At 54.5% G+C, this 19,661-nt stretch overlaps 1 protein-coding gene across 1 annotated transcript in view, besides 7 other annotated features; it reads left to right on the top strand.

Moving 5' to 3' along the window:
• Positions 3,044-3,611: an enhancer, noted in NCBI's record as "H3K4me1 hESC enhancer chr1:37508295-37508862 (GRCh37/hg19 assembly coordinates)". NCBI's record gives its function as "activates a minimal SCP1, AML or CMV promoter by ChIP-STARR-seq in naive H9 embryonic stem cells {active_cell/tissue: H9 hESC(naive)}" and the evidence as "EXISTENCE:reporter gene assay evidence [ECO:0000049][PMID:30033119]".
• Positions 7,733-8,293: an enhancer, noted in NCBI's record as "H3K4me1 hESC enhancer chr1:37503613-37504173 (GRCh37/hg19 assembly coordinates)". NCBI's record gives its function as "activates a minimal SCP1, AML or CMV promoter by ChIP-STARR-seq in primed H9 embryonic stem cells {active_cell/tissue: H9 hESC(primed)}" and the evidence as "EXISTENCE:reporter gene assay evidence [ECO:0000049][PMID:30033119]".
• Positions 10,539-11,099: an enhancer, noted in NCBI's record as "H3K4me1 hESC enhancer chr1:37500807-37501367 (GRCh37/hg19 assembly coordinates)". NCBI's record gives its function as "activates a minimal SCP1, AML or CMV promoter by ChIP-STARR-seq in naive H9 embryonic stem cells {active_cell/tissue: H9 hESC(naive)}" and the evidence as "EXISTENCE:reporter gene assay evidence [ECO:0000049][PMID:30033119]".
• Positions 11,100-11,661: an enhancer, noted in NCBI's record as "H3K4me1 hESC enhancer chr1:37500245-37500806 (GRCh37/hg19 assembly coordinates)". NCBI's record gives its function as "activates a minimal SCP1, AML or CMV promoter by ChIP-STARR-seq in naive H9 embryonic stem cells {active_cell/tissue: H9 hESC(naive)}" and the evidence as "EXISTENCE:reporter gene assay evidence [ECO:0000049][PMID:30033119]".
• The window catches only part of GRIK3 (glutamate ionotropic receptor kainate type subunit 3), a 238,989-nt gene continuing 231,117 nt past the window's right edge, over positions 11,790-19,661 (top strand). Inside the window, exon 1 of the mRNA NM_000831.4 lies at positions 11,790-12,311. Within this exon, the coding sequence (NP_000822.2) occupies positions 12,197-12,311 (115 nt within the window). The 5' untranslated portion in view covers positions 11,790-12,196. The remainder of the gene's footprint in view (positions 12,312-19,661) is intronic.
• Positions 12,236-13,135: an enhancer, noted in NCBI's record as "H3K27ac-H3K4me1 hESC enhancer chr1:37498771-37499670 (GRCh37/hg19 assembly coordinates)". NCBI's record gives its function as "activates a minimal SCP1, AML or CMV promoter by ChIP-STARR-seq in naive H9 embryonic stem cells {active_cell/tissue: H9 hESC(naive)}" and the evidence as "EXISTENCE:reporter gene assay evidence [ECO:0000049][PMID:30033119]".
• Positions 13,136-14,035: an enhancer, noted in NCBI's record as "H3K27ac-H3K4me1 hESC enhancer chr1:37497871-37498770 (GRCh37/hg19 assembly coordinates)". NCBI's record gives its function as "activates a minimal SCP1, AML or CMV promoter by ChIP-STARR-seq in naive H9 embryonic stem cells {active_cell/tissue: H9 hESC(naive)}" and the evidence as "EXISTENCE:reporter gene assay evidence [ECO:0000049][PMID:30033119]".
• Positions 17,017-17,066: an enhancer, noted in NCBI's record as "active region_763". NCBI's record gives its function as "activates an Ori minimal core promoter by ATAC-STARR-seq in GM12878 lymphoblastoid cells {active_cell/tissue: GM12878}" and the evidence as "EXISTENCE:reporter gene assay evidence [ECO:0000049][PMID:35858748]".

The raw sequence follows: 19,661 nt of genomic DNA, 5'->3' as shown, positions 1-19,661 counted from the left end.
TAGATGGCAGGACCCTCCCACCCTACCCCACCTTTCTGACTGGACCATTGCAATTTAACAAGCCTATGATGTATTTCAGGCACTGTGGGAGTTATAGAGACAAGGCAGACACTGCCCTTGACCCAGAGAAGCTCATAGACTGGGAAGACGGACTGGGACACAGCACTAATTGCAGCCTTCAGAGACCCACTTCTTAACTGAGATGTGTGCAAAGTCCAGGGAAAACACAGGGACTGCAACAGTTAACTGTCTGGGGAAGTTGTAGAAAGGATCACAAAAGAACTGACATTGAAGTTGGGTTTTGAAGCATAAGCAGAAATTCCCAGTGGAGAAAAGGGTGCAGGAAGATCTAGGTGTCATACCTGGAGAGACTGTGTAAACGTGCAAAGGCATGAAAGTAGATGGGCTGTTTGGGTTGAAGTGGAAACAGGTGGAAGAGGTGGAGAGGGTGGGGAGTCACAGGTCAGGTAACATTAGAGAAGAAATAATGAGCCAGGCACGGTGACTCAGGCCTGTAATCTCAGCACTTTGGGAGGCCGAGGCAGGTGGATCACTTGAGGTCAGGAGTTCAAGACCGGCCTGGCCAACATGGCGAAACCCCATCTCTACTAAAAATACAAAAATTAGCTGGGTGTGGTGGTGCACACCTGTAATCCCAGCTACTTGGGAGGCTGAGGCAGGAGAATTGCTTGAACCCAGGAGGCAGAGGTTGCAGTGAGCTGAGATCGTGCCACTGCACTCCAGCCTGGGTGACAGAGTGAGACTCCCTCTCAAAAAAAAAAAAAAGAGAGAGAGAGAGAAGAGATCATGGGCAGCCCACACAGTGTGGTATGGCCTAGAGGGTGAGAGAATGGGAGCCTGGCTGCTTGGATGCTAAACCTGGTTCCACGACTTACTAGCTGTCTCTCCATTTCCTCATCAGCAAAGTAGCAATAATAACAGTGGCAATAATAACAGTGCCTACCTCAAAGGGCAGTTGTGTGGATTAAGAGAATTAATGCATGTGAAGTGCCTAGAATGCTGCCTAGCACGTAGCAAGCCTTCATTTGTGTTTTTTCTCTCCTTCAAGGGTGGGAGGGGCTTATAGAGGAGATTCCCCTTCCGTGTCCCCCAAGTCCCCAAGTGCCTCTGCTTATGATTTACTTCTTATGGCTATCCCACCCCGAGACACTTGTCCAGGAGCCATTAGAGGGTTTTGAGCAGAGGAACAGCCCCCGCTTCCTTTGCATTTTGCATTTTGGAAAGGTCCCTCCAACAGTGGCTGAGATACAGCGTTTTGTACTATTATAACAGAATACCGGAACCTTGGTAATTTATAAAGAGCAGAGATTTCTTTCTTTCACTTCTGGAGGCTGGGAAATTCAGGATTGAGGGGCCCACTATATCTGGCAAGGGCCTTCATGCCGCGTCATCCCACGGAGGAAGAAGGAAGAGCAAGAGAGTGCAGGGCGCAAGAGAGAGCGGAATTTGCTTTTATAACAGCCCACTGTCACGATAACAAGCCCATTCCCAAGATAGTGACAAGGATCCATTCCTAATCACCTCCTTAGGTGCCACCTCATTCACCTTTATATTTTCATTTAAAAATTAAAATGTTCTAAAACTGGATGGCAGTGATGGGTGCATAAGTCTGCAAATTTACTTAAAAATCATTAAATTGTACAGTTTAAATGGATGAAGTTTATGGTATGTAAATGATACTGCAATAACGCCTTCTTTAAAAAAGTCCCCAGGTGATCCTAGTGAGACAATTCAGCCTTGGAGGTGGAGTGGGGCTGGAGAGGGGAACTCAGAGCCTGACTTCAGGGCTGGTGGTGCTGTGGGGAAAGGACAGAGACAGTAAATCCTACAGGAGCTTGTTCAATGCTTACCTGGACTTGAGGCTGCTTCCCTGGGCTTAAACTCCTCTCTCATCTTGATCAAGGAAGCCACTGGATTTTGTTGAGGGCTCTCCCTCATCTGGGCTCCCACAGTGCCCACGTCTGCCTGCCAGTACAATGCTTGTCCCAATACGTGGAATGCTCCGTTTCCAGGCCTGGCTCTCCTGGTGTCCCGCGAGCTCCTCAAAAGCGAGGACACAGAGCTGGGCAGAGTAGGTGGCCCCTGAGCACACGCTGGGTACTCTGGGAATGCACCATCCCTGGCTTCCTGGTTAGTGTGTGGATGATGCTTCAGGACCTAGGTGGGGCCTCAGGGATCTGGCTCTGCAAATGTCCTCTCAAGAGCATATGCTAAACTTGGCCTTCAACTCTTGGTTGTTTCAGCAGCTATTCTTGGCAATATATTTCATCCTCTACTCCTCCTCCTCTTCCTCCTCCACCCACCATCAGCCTTCATTTGTGCTTTTTCTCTCTTCAAGGCTGGGAGCTGCTTATAGAGGAGAGTCCCTTTCCTTGTCCTCCAAGTCCCCAGCTTTCTCCCTTCTGCTCTTCTCTAGGTCATTATAACTCCTACCCATCTTCCTCCAACTTCAGTCTGGGTCGAAAACTCCTACCTTGTGTATGACCTTTAGTTTGTCCTTTGTCCCCTGTGTGGGTTCTCAAGTTCTCATCCGTCCCCTCAAACCCTATACATATTCCCTTTATCTTTCTCTGAGTCTCCCTGATCTCTACCCACATCCCCTCTCTTCCTGCCTGTGCCCTCAGCATCTCCCATTTGTCCCCTTGGATTTCAGCTATGACCCTACAGCCCTCCTGTGCCATCTCGGCCCCTCCTACTCCCCCTGTGACAGTGGGTCACCAGGAATGCTTGAAAAAAAATCATAAAGACATGGTTGAGGGAAGCAGCTGGGTAGAGTTCTGGGACTAACTTGAAGTGTGATTGGTGTAAGAGTGTTCCTTTGCATTATCTAGAAAATTGTCTCTATGTTTCACTCAATGGTATGTGTGCTGTGTGGACGCAGGACCAGCCCCAAACTTCCCACCATAGGCTGTGGAATTCTAGTCCATACCCCTGCCTTTATGTCCTGGCTTCTGGCTACAGAGCATAAATTAGCAAGATAATGACCACCTAACTGGGGACTCCCTGGAGCATGTCCTTCCCAGTGGGCTCTCTGGAGTGGGGGTGGGGGTATGCCCAGAAGAAGAGTCCTGTAAAAAGCCATCAGTGGCCCCATCCCAGCTGCTCCTTCATGCTCCTCTCTTCCCTGGGGCAGTGAGGCCACCATCAATGGCCCAAGTGCCCTGACCTGAAGCGTAGGGAGCCTCCTGTCCTTTTGGCAGGGAGGGTCGCTGGGCCTTGTTGGATTCCCTCCTATCCCTAAAGAATGGCTAATCAGATGCTTATTCTCCATCCCCATCACCTGGTTCCTGTCTGTCCTCAACCTCTGTGCTTCTCTGAGTGTCCTGGTGCTTGGAAGAGACATGTGTGTAAGCTTGAGAGCAAAGGGACTTGGCTGGCTGAGTGAATAGAATGAAATGAAGGCAACTCAGAGAAAGGAGGCTGTGGCCACTGGCACCTGTCCCCGGTTCATTTACTCAACCCAACCAAACCCAGGTGGAAGGCTGGAGCCTGGGATTAACTGATTGGCAGAACTGGGATCCCTGCCGCACAGTCCCCCTGCTGCCTCGGAGATAACACAGAGCTGGGGCTGGTTCCTACAGCTAAGCTTCTTCCATCCCCTGCCCAGGCTCCAGCCCAAGCCTCTCCTGACTGCCTGCCTCCACAGCTGCATTCCTTCTGGCCCCTGGGAGACAGAGCAACACTCAGCACCCAGGCCTCGGAGCTGCCTCTGAGTCCTCAGGGTCCCAGCCCCCCACCCCCTGCCCCGAGGCTTACGAAGGGTCCCAGTTCTGGGTAGCTCTGGGAGGGGCATGTCCTTCTTTTTAAATGGATCCTCCTGAGTTGTTCCCTCAGGTCAGATACTGGGCAGGTTCTCTGGGGATGGGGAGATCTTGGACAGAGATGCAGGGAGAAGCGGGGAATATCACTAAGGTCAGGACCAAGAGGAAGCCAAGGTGGGTAGGGGTGAGGGCTTGCTAGGGAGGAGGGATCCTGGAGAAATGTCAAAATCTGACAGCAGGTTTGGGGTGCAAGCCATAGGATTTCCTTCCCTCAAGGCAGCCAGCCAGCCTGCTGGATGAACACAAAGACCCTCAACTCAGCAACCCCACAGCTTCTGCAGACCCGCTCCATGTGGTCAGGGATGGGGGAGAGTAGAGGAGCAGCCTGACATGTGTCAGTCTTTCTGAGCCTTTTCTACCCCACTCACATGCAACCTGGTGAACCTGGAGGCCAGGGATCCATCTGAGTGTGTGTGTGTGTGTGTGTGTGTGCGTGCATGCACAAACACACTGTTCTTCCTGCTGGAGGCTTGGAGAGAGTTCCCCCAAGGCTCTACTCAGGAGTCTGACACTTCCAAGCAGCAGAGACAGTTGATCGCTAAGTGTGACATGCCCTTACAATGTGCCAGGCACAGTTCTAAGCATATCACATGTATTACCTCATTTAATCCTCACAACAGCCCTGCAGGGCAGATACTATTATTATCCCCATTTTATAGATAGGAAATAGAGGCACAGAAAATTAGGTAAATTGTCCAGGGATGCTCAGCTGGTAAGAGGCACAGCTGATTTGAAGACAGGCTGTCTGGCTGCAGAGTTCATGCTTTCCCGAGTCGTGGGTGGATGTTGGTAGTTCTGTGTGTGTGTGTGTGTGTGTGTGTGTGTGCAGTAGTATGGGCATGTACCTGTACTGGTGTGCTTGTGTGTGTACAGGCACAGCACCAGGGACAGGTATTCATTCATGCCCAGTTCCCCTCAATGAAACCTAAAGGAATTTCCTCCTTTTCTTTCCCCCAAGGAGCCTGTAACTCTCCCCTGCCCAGGCTGCCTTTGCCTCTAATCAGTTCATGAAGCTGGTGCTCAGCCTGTCTGCCCTGTTGCCAGAAGGAAGAACAGCAACAAAGCAAGGCACATCTGGACACAGAGGTGCTTGGGTGTGGGGTAGGCTTGAGTCCTAGCACCTGCTGCAGCCAGCATTCTAACCAGCCCCAGCCCCATTCTGGGCCAAACACCAAGTACTTCCTCCAACATTTGGTGGTTGCTGGAAAATCTTGTCTCCCTGGAGCAAGGCAGGACAGAGGCTGTATCATTAGGGATCTGCCGTCCCTCAAGGTTGGGGTTAGAAATGTCCTGACTAAGGCCCATGTCTGGCATCACAGGGAGGGAGGAACCCAGTGCCCACTCCCCTCTGGACCTGGGGCAGGGAGGCAGCATCTCTTCCCATTGCCTCTGTCTCCATCTCCCCCTGGCTCCTCCTCCTGAGTGTCCGGGACACGTGCTCATCTCCACTCCAAGCCTGGCTGTCTGGCGCCTTGCCTGTCTTGCAGGCAGAGAAGCTCCATACCTGTGTGCCAGAGAGGCACAGGTGTGCCTGTGCCACTCACACAGTGTACCACCTACTGGAATCTTGGCGGAGGGCAGACTTGGGATGGGATCCACAGGAGAGACAGTCTGTGGCATAATTAAGAGTGAGCAAAACACAGAACAAAACAATGTGTTTTTTCCTCTCTCTTTTCTGCCACTTGCCCTAATTATTTTCCCACTTTAAAATTCTACATCAACTTTAATTAAGCTGGCCTCGGGCAGGGAAGTCTGGCAAACTTGGAGAAGTTCACTTGTTTATTTTCTTATCACTGAGTGATTGGATTTTCAAGGATCACTCTGTCTCTCTCTCTCTGCCTCTCTAAGGAGGGATGATGGCAGCCTCCTGCCCATGAGGGGACAGGTGCAGCCGAGAACTGGCTCACCGCAGCCTCTGAGGGAGACACTTCTCTACAAAAATCTATTGTTGGCTAATTCATGCTCTAGTTTTGTCTCCCCTCCCCCCACCGATTCCTGCAAGGTCAGGGATCCAGGGCAGCAATTGTTAAGCAGTGGAGAGAGTACTGGACTGGGAGTTCAGTCACTTGGGTCAGAAGCTGTTTGCCACTTACTTTTTGGGCAGGAGTCATTCATCTAGTCATTCATTCATCCACTTTTTAATTCATTTGCTCATTCTTTCATGTTACCTCATTTATTCATTCTCACATTCATTCATGTATTTGTTCTCTCCCCATCATCTGAACAACAATACGGGCCTACTTCTGCCCTCCCCAGTAATATTTGACTCCTCTGAGCCCATTTCTTCCCTCCTGCATCCCTGGGTTGTTCCAAAGACAACAAGAGATGATGTAAGTGGAAGCCAGGATGGCTCTTGGCTCAGTGAGGTGGCACTGTGGGACACCTCGGATGTTATGCCCATCACCAGACGTGGACTCTGGGTCTTTCTGGGCCTTGGTCCCTGCTCGTAGGACAAATGCCCAGACCCTCTCCAGGGTCAGGGATGTTGGCAGAATCTTGAAGTTTGCTGAATTTCATCATAAAGTGGAGGATATGAGAGTGGGGCTCTGAAGAAGCCAGGACACCTGGTGGCTGGCGGGAGCAGCAGTGTCTGAGGCTCAGACCCCAAAGTGACTGAGGACAGGAGGAGCAGGCAGATGTCTTTGCTGGGTGTGGTGAGGAGGCAGTGCATGAGGGACAGAGTGATTGAGCAAGTGAATGGATGAGTGTGTGAGTAAATGAGTGAGTGGGTGACCAAGCAGAGGACTGAAAGTAAATGAATGAATGAACAACTGGGTGATTGAAGAAAGAATAGATGGCTAAGTCAATGAATGAATGGATGAGTGAATAATAAGTAAGCAGATGAATGTAAGTAAGAAAATGCGTGAGGGGGCAAGTGAGCAAATAAGCAAAATTAATGGAAGAATAAGTGAATGAGTGGGTCATTGAGGGATTAGAAGAAGTAATCAGAGAATCACTGAATGGTGAGTAGATGAATGGGTAAGGGACTGAGTAAATGAACAAGTGAGTGATTGAGTGGATGAAAATAAATGGATGATCCTATAAACAGATGAATGAGTGAATGGATGTGATGGAATGAATGAGTACATGAATAAATTAATTAGGGAATGGATGAATGAGCGAGTGAGTGAGCAAGCAACTTTGGTCCCCACCCATGGTGCTGAAGAAAGGGAGCCTATTGCCAGAACCTGGGAGGCCAGGAGGTGCTGGTTCGTTCCCTGTGCATAATTCTCCCCACAGTGCTCCTCACACGGCAGCAGAACCCACTCTGCTTCCAGCCCATCAGCTTCTGTTCCATTATGTATAGATACAAATGGGGTTGCTGTGTATCCCTTTCTTCCTCCACCAGAACCGCACCCGAACTATTGAAACACAGATGTCAGTAAAATAACATATCTCCGGTGGCTTGTCTACCTGTATCCCTCACTGCTGAGAAATAACTCACAGCAGTGGGTTAAGCTGACAATAAACACAGGAATTGACTTCAGTGGGAAGGAGCTTGCCTGACTGTTGACAAAAATCTAAGGTGACGCAACCTTCGCTGGGCTTATTGCTTGCTCAGGTGGCAGCCTGGCTGTGCTGTTCCCTTGGGACTGGGATGAGGGACAAAAGCCCCAGGGTGATGAAAGGGTCCCTGTCTCTGAGCCAAAAGGCAGGTCACGGTGTCCTGCAAAGGGCTGGGGCACGGCTTTTGTGGTGAGCACGCACTTTGCCATTGAGAGAACACTGTACAATAGAGTAGGCTACAGGGAAGGCCTCTTCTCTTCCCTCCCTGCTCAGGCAGTTGGCAAAGATCAGGCAAGGGCTGGCGGTTGCCTTCCTCTCATCATGGCCCCATGCTGGGGTGAGATGGGGCAAGGGAGCCCCTCCCCCATTCTCAGCAAGGCACCCCAGGTGCAGGCTTGTAGAGCAGCCTGGCCCCATGGTAGGACATTTAAGGGAGTGGCTGAAGCCCCAGGGCTTCAGCGTCCAGCCACGACCAGCAGCCTGCCTACTGGGTAGCAGGAAGGGAGCTGAAGGTAGGCAGGCCTCGGCAGAGGGCACTCAAGTCCTAGGAATCTGCACTCAGCCACTGCACACGTCTACTCCGTGGTTTCCCAGGGAAGCAGAGAACATGAATCTCGGTAACTCGAGCCCAGGGCATCATCACTCACTGCGATTGTGGGGGGGGTTGAGAGCCAGAGTGGATCAGTCTAAACAAAACACGTGCACAGGGGGCTCCTCCAAAGAGCATGATCGGCCACCACTGGGTGCCCCGTCCCTCACCCAAAGTAGCTGGGGAGGGGTGGGGGGACGAGGCCAGGGAGGGGGCTGGGAGTCTTGGGTTTCTTCCTGGAAATCCTACCCTCACCACCCACCTGTGAGCCAGTGGGAGACATGAATCTCGCTGGCAGGAACTCGGGCCAGCTCAGCCGTTTTCAGGGATGTTAATGAAATGCGGGAGCACTTGTCCTTTCAGACAGCGGCCCCTTTTATTTGGGAATGAAAAGCTGCATTAGTCTGAATGAGGTTTGGAGGCCTCATAAATCCGGCGCTGGCTGCCTCGTGGGGGAGCAGGGAGCCTAGGCCTGGCTGGTGGGTAGACTTGTTTACCAACAATGCGAAAAGCCAGGATTGGCGGCTCCCAATGCCCGGAGGAGATGCGGCTGGAGATAGTGCCAGCCCTGGTGCCTGCTGGTGGCGGGGCAGCCTGGAGAGGCATGTCATGCCACCGGCAGAGAGGGCTGTAGGTCTCTCTTCATGAGTTAGGGATGACTGGGCTCCCCGATCTGCCCTGATAAAGTGTCTGAGTATTCTGCTCTTAGCCTTCCACCGCAGGCAGCAGCCCCAGTGGGGCTCCACAAGAGTGATGAGAATTGGCCCCTGCAGCTTGTCCCCTACTCAGCCCAGATGGTAGAGGACAGGGTTAATTCTATGAGCTCAGGAGTCGGCTGAGCCTATATGTGAACCTTGACATCTCACCCACAGTGCCTGGCAAATGGTGATGCCCAATATGTTTTAGAAGAAAGTAGGAAGGAAGGGAGGGAAGGAGGGAGGGGAGGGGAGGAAGGGGGGAAGGGAGGGAGGGAAGGAGGAAGGGAGGGAAGGAGGGAAGGAAGGAGGGAGAGAGGGAGGGAAGGGGAATGGAGGGAAGAAAGAAAGGTCACATACCAGCGATGTGACTTTGGACCTCTTACTTAACCCCGCTGAGGCTCAGTCTTCATCTGTAAAATGGATTTGTTATTTTAGACAAAGATCCTATCGCAGTGGGTGTGGAGAGCAAGAGGTGAAGTGATGCGTGTAAGGTAGTGAATATATTGTCTGGAACATAAAAACATGTAATAAATACTAGGGGTCATTATGGGGATCGTTGCTGCTGTTTCTGTTCTTGCAATGCATCCCACCCTCCCCTAGACCGGGAGGGAACACGCTGCTGTTAGTTTTGGGGAAACCTCTGTGTCACAAAATGGCTCGCAGCCAGGTCAAGAAAAAGGCCCAGTCCCAGGCTGGCGATGGCAGCTTCCCTCTGGCCCCAACTTGGAAGGCAGGGTTCCAGCTGCCTTCCAAGTCCAGTGACTGGGCCCCACAGCCTCTGCAGCTGGGAGGCTCTTTCCCACCGCAGCCCTACGTGGCAGCAGAAAAAAGCCTCGATCCGCAGCGTGCTGGGTAACTCCCGCCCACTCTGGGATGCAGGAGGAGCAGGCCCAGCCTGTGCTGCTTCCCTGGGGCGCCGAGGGGGCTCGCAGGTGGCAGAGCCACACTCTCACCCTCTGGGGGCCTCAGCATCCCCCTCTGCCTTCCTCCCTTCGCGTTTCTAGCACCACTTTCATGCTAGCTTTTTTGGAGGCTGCTGCTTCTCCTCCTGCTCCCCTCCCCTTATCCCTCCCTTCCACAGGCCTTGGATCTGCTCCCTCCTGGGAGCCACACCTCTACCTTTCTGCTGCTTCTGTTTCTCTGCCAAGCCACTTGCAGGCTGACTGCAGGACAACCCAGGCAGAATTAGCATCCAGGCACTCCCCTTGCCTGTCCCCAGACCAGCCTTGGGCAATGCCGTTTTAGCCCTGTGTCCTTTGCCTCAAGTTCAGGTCCCTTTCCGTTTGTCTATCAGCGCACCGAAATTTTCTTCCTTAGAGAACAGCTAGGCCTTTTGGTTCCTTGGGGCAACCAAACCTGTTGCGGAAGCTGATAGGCAGGCGATGGGGAGGGGTGTGCGTCCCCAAGGAAGGGGCTCCCCCAGCTATATCCGGGAGGCCGCGCCCTCTGCTGCCCTCTCCTGCACTTCCTCCTTACTGGCGCCCACTGGAGCCCTTACTTTTTATCAAGAGGTGGCAGCTGCTGCTTCCCTAGCTTTGGTCTGCGTGTCCTTCCCTCCGATCCCTCGGGCAACATTTTCCAGTGGCTGCTTGGGAAACCAGCCGCTCCTGCTCCAGGGCGAGGGAGGCCCAACTTTGGCAGAGACAGACACTCAATAACCTCAGTTTGTTTGCTGGATTTTTGAGGATGTCCTCAGGACGGGCGCACCCCTCTGTGTTCTTTTGTGAGGAGCCCAGGGAGTCTCTCCTCCTCCCACAGCCACAGTGGCCTCCACCTCAGGTGGGAGGGCGTCCCTTCCTAATTGGCAGGATTGGCCACACTGAGATATTCACATCCCCACACAATGCCACGGGCCTCTGCACCCAGACAGGGAGGGGAAAAAAGAGGGAAATTAACAGGCGGGTGAGAGCTCGGCTCATAGAATATTTGTAAGAAAATTAAAGATTTGCTCTTCAGATGTTGGGGGCCATGCTCTTACCAGACAGCTGGCAAATGGGAAAGATTGGAAATGATAGAATAGATCAAATTATTTAAATGAGAAAAATAAATTCACACACAGCCTAGCCGCTGCCCGGTGACAGATCCGTTTATTTATCTACTGTATCGGCACCGCTTTGTCTCTGTCAAAAAGGTCATTAAACTCGCCTAACTGAGTAATTCGCAGCCTCCTGCTCCAGCCTCGCTCCACAGCCTTTCCCTTCCCTCACACCCAGCGCCACTTGAAAAAAAATTATTATTGCTAATAAACAACGTTGTTTTTCTTTTTAACCCCTTTAGCTTGCTCCCCCACGGATCCTACTCCATCCCACGACAAATTACAGTTTCTCTTTATTCTTTCTCAGGAGAATGAGGGAGGGGGCACCAGCCCTTCCTGCACAGTTACGGGAGAGGGCTGAGAGGGAGCGGGCCCGGCGCCCACGCCCCCCTACATCTAAGGCGTGAGCGGTCTTCCTCCTCCGCAGCCCCAGGACCTGTGCGCGGTCAAGTCCAGCTTCCCACAGCAGGGGGTCTGACTTGGGCTCTCCCACCTCTACCAACTCCCTCAGCTCCCCTGGCCCAGCGTAGACAATTCGCTTTGAATTCTGCCTCTCCGAACCCCCAGCCCCAACTCTGCTGCCAGGAGGAATGGGGTTGGGGAGGGAAGCCGGTTCCCGGGTCAGTCTCCCGCTGCCACCGCCGTCCAGCCAGCGCCCGCCGCGTGGGAGCCGCGAGGCCAGGCTCCGCAGACGGCGGGCTCCCGGTCTCGCTGCTCCCGGCGGGCGCGTCTCCTCCAGCTGGTCCGGCCGCTGGGCTGCCGCCGTCTCCCAGCTCGCGGTGCCAGCTCTCGCGCTCCACGCCTGGCTCCCGGGCTCCGTGCCCTCGCAGTAGAAGGGACTGGGGCCGGCGGGGCGGGTGGGGACGTCTGGGAAGCGAGGAGAGTCCTCGTTCTCCGGGCGTCCCCCTACAATGGGGCCAGGGTCCCCTTCCCCGCCCCCCGCGCAGGTGTGAGCGCGCGAGTGTGCGCCTCGGCAAGTGTGAGTGTGAAGTGTGTGTGCGCGGGGGAGTGCGCGGAGGGAGCGCGGGCGGCGGGCGGCGCGGGAGGCGGGAGGCAGGGCGCAGGGGAGGGGGCTGGGAGGGAGAGTGTGCGCGCGTGCAACTCCACTCCGGGGCTTTGTGCGAGCCCGGGCGATAGCATCGGCGGCGGCTGGAGGAGGAGCGGCCGGAGACGCGTGCAGCCCGCCCGCCAGAGCCCGGCAGCCGGGGCAGGTGGGAGCCCGCGCGGGAGCCGAGCCGACGCGAGTCGGAGCCGGAGCCGAGTCCGAGCGGAGTCCGGGCGGAGCCCAGGAGCCTCGCTCGCGGGCAGCCCGTGGGCGGCAGCCAGGCGGGGCGGGCGCCGGCGGGGCGGCCCCCCAGTAAGATGTGCGCGGCGCCGCGGGGCGCCCCCCACTTGCAGCGGCGCTCGGGAGCCGGGCGGCTGGGCCAGGCGGCGCCTTCGGGGCTGCTGCGCGCCCGCGCCTAGAGCTGCCGCCCCAGGGAGCCCGCCACGGCCGCGCCCCGGGCACGCTCGGCGGCGCCCAACGATGACCGCTCCCTGGCGGCGCCTCCGGAGTCTGGTTTGGGAATACTGGGCCGGGCTCCTCGTGTGCGCCTTCTGGATCCCGGACTCGCGCGGGATGCCCCACGTCATCCGGATCGGTAAGCGCTCCCTGGAGCCGGGGGTCTCCGTGCGCCCGGGAGGGGGCGGGAATGAGGGGGCCTCCCAACGCGTTCCGGAGAGATTTTCCTAACCTCTCTCCGAGCTGCTGAGCCGATCGGTGACCACCAGGAGCTCCTCCCTGTGAGGACAAAGTTCCAGAGTCGGGGTCACGGGCCTTACTTATTGGGGAGGAGGCCGCCGGGCCGCAGTGGGCGAGGGGCCCTTGGCGCGCTCCTGGGAGGTCAGACCTGGCACAGTGTGGCGAAGGTTTCCAGTGCGATCCCGAGTCGAGGGCGCATTTCGCGGTGACTGCCAGCATGAACCGCAGCCGACCGAGTTCTGCGATCGGGCTTCTCCGCAGAGTGGGGACCCTGGGGAAGGCGCCAACTTCTCTCCTCTGCCCACCTCACTCCCCGCGGGCCCTTCGTCCCCACCTCTGGCATAGCTCGAGCAGCCGCAGCGAGGTCGCAGGGCACAGATTCGCATGACGAGGGCAGCCGGTCTTCTCTCCTGGTGGTCGCCCTTGGCCTCGGTGGTACCGGTTCAGCCCCGTGCCATGGGGCGGGGGTTGGGGGAGCAGGACCCCGCTGCCCGCTGCAGCTGGTCCCTCGGGGCCAAGGCCTCTCTCCCGCCTGGGGCAGTGCAGGTAGAGGGAAGGGACGATGGAGGCCGCCCAGTGCGGCCCGGGCAGGCGGCCCAGGGACGCCAGCGGTTTTTAAAGTTAGCCCGAATTCCTCCGCAGCTGGCGGCGGCTGGCGGGGCTGCGCGCGGCTTTCCGGGGCTCCGGCTTCTCCGCGTCTCTTCTCGCCGGAGACTCTTACTCCGGTCTTTAACTTTGTTGTGGCCGCCCAAGGCACCCTGCAGGCCTGAGCGCCGCGCATGTCCCGGGCCGACGACCGGCAGGGCTGGGCCTGGCCGGGCTAAGACGGAGCCTCCATCACCGCAGGCCCTGCGCCCGCCACCAGGCCGGACACCTGGGCCGCCTGGGTTCACTCGGCGCCAGCACCAGCGCCTGGCACCAGGCGAGCCGGACTCCGCCGAGCCAGGGCCACCTTCCTCCTCTACAGCTCTTCTTCAGGGCGGACCTTGGGCTGCCAGCGGCGTGAAAGAGGTGCCGGAACCGGTGTCGGGCTTGGTTTCCGTACTTGAGATTTTCCTAGGAGGCGGTCAGAAACCCAGCGGGTGGGTCTCCTCCTGGGCGGCCGCCCGGGAGCCGGACCCTCTTGAACACCATCTGGATGGGGCAGAGCACAGTCCTCAGCTCTGCCCACGCTGAGATCTTTCGGTCCATGCCCAGGACCCTGGCAGGCAAACACCAGCACCGGAGGCAGAGGAGGCCAGGCACGGGAGGGGACACTGGGGACAACCCTTATGGTCAGGCTTAACCCTTTGCAGCCCAGCCTGGTTGCTCCTGACAACCGAAATGTCTTCTATCTCTGTGCCTTTGCCTGCCCCAAGCCCAGCCTGGCACCATTCCAGGGGCAGGAAGCCTCCCCTTCCCCCCCCAGTAATGGACCAGCACTTCCTTTATTCCCTGTCTCCTTCCCTCTGCTTTTTTGGGGGCCTGCGTCGTAGGGTGTCCTTGGGGAAAAAGGTGGGGGGACTGAGAGGGTGCTATTTGCCCATCGCACGGATTGCAGTTCCCTTTTCCTTGATCCTTCTTCCACAGGGGTGGGATGGGTGTGCTCCCAGCCCAGCCTCAGGGATGGAAGTCTTTGGAGGCCCAGAAGGACAGGCTACCGTAAGGGCAGCCTCAGAGGGATAAGCTGGGAAGGCGCAGGATGATGTATCCTTACTGTGAAATTGAATGGGTTAGGGAGTTCCTCCCAGCCCTTAGGAAGAGCATCCCCAAGCCTGCCCGCCCTTTCTTGGGTTCAGCGTGTAATAATGAAATTAAAGGATGGCAGAGCCCTCCTCTCTTCTAATCTTCTTCGTATTAAGCCCCAGGATTAATTAGCGTGTCAGCCCAGGTCATTTATATCCAAGAGCCCTGCCCCATTTGATTCTCAGCCCATGGACTGGGGTGTTGTGCCTGCGCCAAACGTGACTGCCAGAGCTGTGCCAGTTTGGGCGGAGGATGGGAGGACTCTGAGGCCTCTGGAGACTCCTGGGGAGCTGAGTTTCTGTCCTTCTGAGCCCCTGCTTGAACCCCAGCTGGAGCCAGGGAGCTACAGTGGACATGGACAGAAAGAGCGAGCGAGCGAGAGAGAGAGAATCTCATGCTAAAATCCAAACACACCACCTTGGCTGGGCCCAGTGCCCTCTCCCTTTTCCCATCCCCCCCATCCCTGGGATCTCAGGGTTCTGGCTGGGGCTTTAAGAATTTAGGCCCTCTGGAGTGTGCTAGGTGCTTCTGATTCTCAAGACTGGCACCTGAGCCGGCTGAGCTTGGAGCTGAATGCTTCTCCAGCAGCCAGGCATCGCCGAGCACCAGCCCGGAGAGGGCTTTCTTGCAGGTGCCAGAGGGGCTCTCTGGGCTGAGGAGCATCGTACCCACCCCCTCTCTTTGTGCCTCTTTTGGGGGCTGAAATTTCCTCTTAGACAAGGAGATGGATAGCTCAGCAGTGTGACAGAGTGTTCAAACAATCCGTCTTGAATAGATGAATTGCATTGCTCTGTCTTTTTGTAATTGTGTCTATCAGAAGGAGAGGTCAAGGCATTGATTGCTTGGATGGTTTGCAAGTAACAAAAGAGAGTGAGGGAGAGAGCAAGGGAGAGAGAATGATTGGATTGTAGTCTGCGAGAAAAAATGATCATTGATTATTTTATGTGAATATGTGGAAGATGTATTCTATGTATGATTATCAAATGTTGTGCATTGAAGGTTTTCAAGCCATATTGTTTGGCATTTTATTATTATTATCGTCGTTATTATTGTTTGGGTGAATCCCAGTCTTAACTTACGGAAGGCAGTTTAATGCATAGATTCTCTCAGCCAAACGGGCTTCAGTGACCTCCCGTGGGGACCTGAATTTCCAGGTTACCTGACCCCAAATCTGTAGTGGAGGGGCTGCTGGACTTGGAGCCAGGAGGTCTGGGTTTTCTGCTGCATCTGCCACCAGTTTGTTGGGCCATTTCCATCAAATCACACCTCTCCCTGGCACCCCAGGCCTCAGTTTCTCCATCTGTAAACTATTTGGTTGGCCTTAATGGTTGGTATGTTCTGTGGTTTCAAAGTTCCCTTTAGTGCAGGCTGGCGGGCACTGTTATGCCATTGTAGGTTTCATGGTTAGTTCTCTCCTCATGTTATGGGCATATGTAGGATTGAGGGCCAGCCTGGAATTTGAAAAGGGAACTAGACAGTGGTGGCAGCAGCTGGGGAAGCCTGGCCAGCTCTTCTGTGTGTTGAGGAGCTCAAGTGGATGGTGGCGATCTCCAGCCAGCCAGTGGGGAGGTTTGAAGCCAAATGACTGCAGAGACATAAAGCAGGTGTTGGGGGGGGGGAGGGGGTGGGGGGTGGGGAAAAGGAAGGGTTGGCCCAGCTCTGGACTCTGAGCATCTACAGATAGAGCAGAACTGAGCTGCAAGGTCCTGAGTTTCCTGAATATACAGGGGCCCAGCAGGCAACAGCAGCCGATCCCTGGGGAGAGACACCCCCTCCCTCAGAGTTCCCAAACCGGCCTCATCTGTAACTCCTATGACTGGTTCACCCAAATTATCCTAAACATTCATCTCTTGAGTTTGGGAGCCGCTGTGTATAAAACAATGAGAAATTTCTCACAGTGACTGGTGATGCGCTGAAACATCGCTGCCTTGTAGGAGCAGACAGCAGCTGAATGAAGATCAATAGGGTTTTCCCCCCTGGAAGTAAATAGCTTCAGACAAGACCTGGGAGTGGCCCGCGGGGCCTTAGAGAGCATTAACTTGAGGAATTTCTACCTCCACTTTTCAGCCCAGCTGCTGCTGTTAGCCCCAGCTTTCCTCCTTCTCAACTGGAGTTTAATTTTCTTCCTGATGCCTGCCTCGCACTTCGCTAAACAGTCTTTTGATGTCAGAATGACCTAGGGTCTTTAGAGGTGGTTTATGCAAGGTGAGCCAGGCACCCTGGCCTCACTAGGCTCTTCCAAGGTCACCTGCATCCTCCTGTAGCCGGCAGGATGGCTGACCTCAGAAGTCCAGCTCATGTGCTGTTTTCAAAGGGCTTTGCAGGATGGCTCTTTATCCCCGACCCCTCCAGAAATGCAAGCTGCCTCCAACCACTCCAGAAATGCAAGCTGCCTAGTGGCTTTTAGGATCCTTTGTGGGGCTGTAAGCCTTCCTGAATCCCCACGTTCCCACAGGCACTCTGTGCCTGTCCCAGGAAACAGTCCCCTCCATGGGGGAGGAAGCACAGATGCCCCCGTGGGCTGTGGAACTACCCCTCCTCTTGAGAGAAGTATAAGGCCATATGTAGGACAGACTGCAGGCCTGCTTGGTGAAGGGGGTTCTTTTAGCAGGAGACCTGTTTGATCTCAGTGACTGGGACTGTTTCTGGTCTGCTGAGGTGGCGCCTCCTCTACTTGCCACAGCAGCTGCCCCTGTCTCTTCCTTGCAGCTGCAGCCTGGCTTGCCTTGCTTGCTCAGGACCTTCCAGAGGGAACTGAAACAGCGGGTGCTTCACTCCACTGGGCAGCACGGAGAGGAACTGGGGGACTTTGCACACCCCGCCTGGCAACAGAGAGGACCAATGTTGCAGGAGCAGGGCCCTCGTTGAGGCTAGCACCCAGCAGGCACTCGCTTGTCCTCCAGAGGCCAGTGTGGTAGGGCTGCAGCTCTGGGAAGACAGATGCACTAAGGGCCTGCCTGGTATGGAAACGGAGCTGATGCGGATGGGGCTGGCGCCTTGGCCTTGGGCTTGATTCCTGGAATCGCTCTTCTCCCAGGTGCTGATTCTTCAGCAGCAGCACCAGAGGGCAGTGTGCCTGTGCTGAGACGGCCACCGCAGTGTCTTCTGCCTGGGGCCCCACCTGGGTCTGGAGCAAAATCAAAATAATGAAACAACAATGACAACAGCCATATGATGGCTCCAATTTATTGTGCAATTATTAGCCACTAAGCACTGTGCCAAATGCTTTTCAAACAATGACTCATAGTGTGGGTAAATAGTAAGTGCTCAATAAATGGAGCCATAGGGCTCTTCTCTTCATCTTAGGTAGCCTTCACAACCTACAGACATTATCCCATTTTACAGGTGAGGGAACTAAGCTTGGTGGCGTCACTTGCCCAAGATCGCACAGCCAGTGAGCGGTAGAAGTGGGATAAGAAGTATGGTGTGCCTGCCTCTGGATCCCATGCATTTAGCTGGCTGTGCCATCTGGAGATGGCAAGAAACAGTTTTTAAGGGGCTGAATGCGGTGCCCCTACCCCCACTCCCCATTCTGGTTGCTGAGTGAGGTCTCACTGGCTGGGCTATGTTGGTCCTCCTCTGGGAGGATGGCCATCTGGGCTCTACCACTCTGAATTCCACTAGCACTAGTTTTCAGTGTCAGACTGGCCTTGCTGATGAGCTGTGTGGCATATTTGCCTCCTCCAGGGCCCAGGTGTGGATGGTCTTTCCCAGCCTTCCTACCAATACACATCCTTCCATGTACTACATCCCACATTGTCCTGGCTTCTGGACTCTGCTTGAGGCTTTAATCTAAGCCCTAAATAAAGGACGGACTCACCCTTGGGTGAGGCCAGTTCACCTACAGGGATCCCACTGTTCTGGGGTCTGTAGTCTACATGTCCCCACTGGAACCACCAGGCTGTCCTCAAAGACATTGTCAAAGCCTTGAGGAAACCCAAGGGCCTCGTGTCTGTGTCTCCTTCACCTCCATCCTCCTCACCCAGGGACCTGGAAAGAGAAGGTGGTTGGAGAATTAGCTGTCTTTGTTATTCCTTCCTTCCCTCACTTCCCGTTTTCCTTCCTTAGTCCTGTTCCTTCTTGCCAACATCCCTTCAAGGCTAATAGGTTTTTATGGTCGTTTTATTTTTAAGCAAGAGTCACATCCTGACCTTCTAAATTGGGCCTGCTGCCTCTGGGTCCTGGAACATGTGTTGCTGTGTCACAGACACCGTGGGTTGGGCATGGGGACCTGGATGCAAGAGTCTTCCTAATCCACCATTCCGTCTACAAGAGCAAAGGCAAACCCAGACTTACCCTTCTCTGTCTGCAGTATTCCTTCTCCCATGGGGCCAGGGGAGCCTGGGATAATGGTGGCTGCCAGGGACTGAGCTGTCTGGAAGTGAGGGGAAGCTGCACTGCCCAAAGTCACTACAAAGGTGACAGATTTGAGACAGGCATGGTCAGAAGGGTTATGTTACTTTGCAGGGCCTCCATTTCCCCATCTGTAAAATGGGGATGATACTGCCCATTGGGTTAAATACGTGTGACGTCTTTTCAAAAGAGCTTACATGCTGTCCACACTTGAGCGTTTCTTTTTGCCCTTGGAGGAGTCTGTGCACAGGGCTGGGTGTAGGGTGATGCTAGGGAGACCTCCAGGGAGCTGACTCTAAGGAGGCCCTCAAATGAGGACCCTTTGCTTGCATGACTGACCATGAGAGGGGGTGCCTCCTTAAATCCTGGCCCTGACCCAGCATCTGAATTTGCTTCTGGAGTATGCTTTTCCTCCCACTTATCTTTGTGCTCCAGAGACAAATCCTAATTGAGCATGATTTGGAGAGATCAGACCAAATTGAGGGCCAGGGGACTGGGTTTGAGGACAACAGGTTGTTCAGATTTTCTTTTGTTTCTCATAGCCACATTTCATAGCAGCCATGCCCCTAGAGCCGTCTGCCCTTCCTTCCTTTGTTTTATTTCCTTTGGAAATCGCCTCCAGGGTCCACACTGCCTCTCCCTAGTCACAGCTCAGCTGCCCAGGTCCTTCTCCTTGCTTCCTTTGACCTTTATGCCTTGTTTACTAACAGTATTGACCTTGGCCATGGTTTTCTGGGGGTGAGTCGGTATCTAGGCTTTCTCTAATGCATGTGCATTGTGCCTCCCCCACTAGACAAGGAGCTACCCAAGGGTGTCTCAGGCCATCTCTCCCCCATCACTTCCAAGAAACAGAATGATTTTTTTTGGAGTCAATAATATATTTCATTGATTCTAAGATGGGATTTTTTTTTCACATTTTCATATCTCTGACATCAGCTCGTGTCTCACATGTCATGTCTAAGTTTACTTGCAGAATTTTTTCTTTCTTGGCACTCCAAGAAAGAATGGCATGTCTTGGGTCTGATGAAATGTGGTGGATCTATTTTTGAACGTGAGTCCAATGTGTACTTGCTGTGTGACCTTGGGGAAGTCACCGCACCTCTGAGCTTCCATTTCCTCATCTATAAAATAGAAGTATTAACGTTAGGTTGAACCACGTGCAGCTATTGTT

The sequence above is a fragment of the Homo sapiens genome, chromosome 1, assembly GCF_000001405.40.
Source record: "Homo sapiens chromosome 1, GRCh38.p14 Primary Assembly".
Classification (NCBI taxonomy): domain Eukaryota; kingdom Metazoa; phylum Chordata; class Mammalia; order Primates; family Hominidae; genus Homo; species Homo sapiens.
The sequence above is the reverse complement of the archived record's forward strand: the minus strand, read 5'-3'. Positions and strand labels throughout refer to the sequence as shown.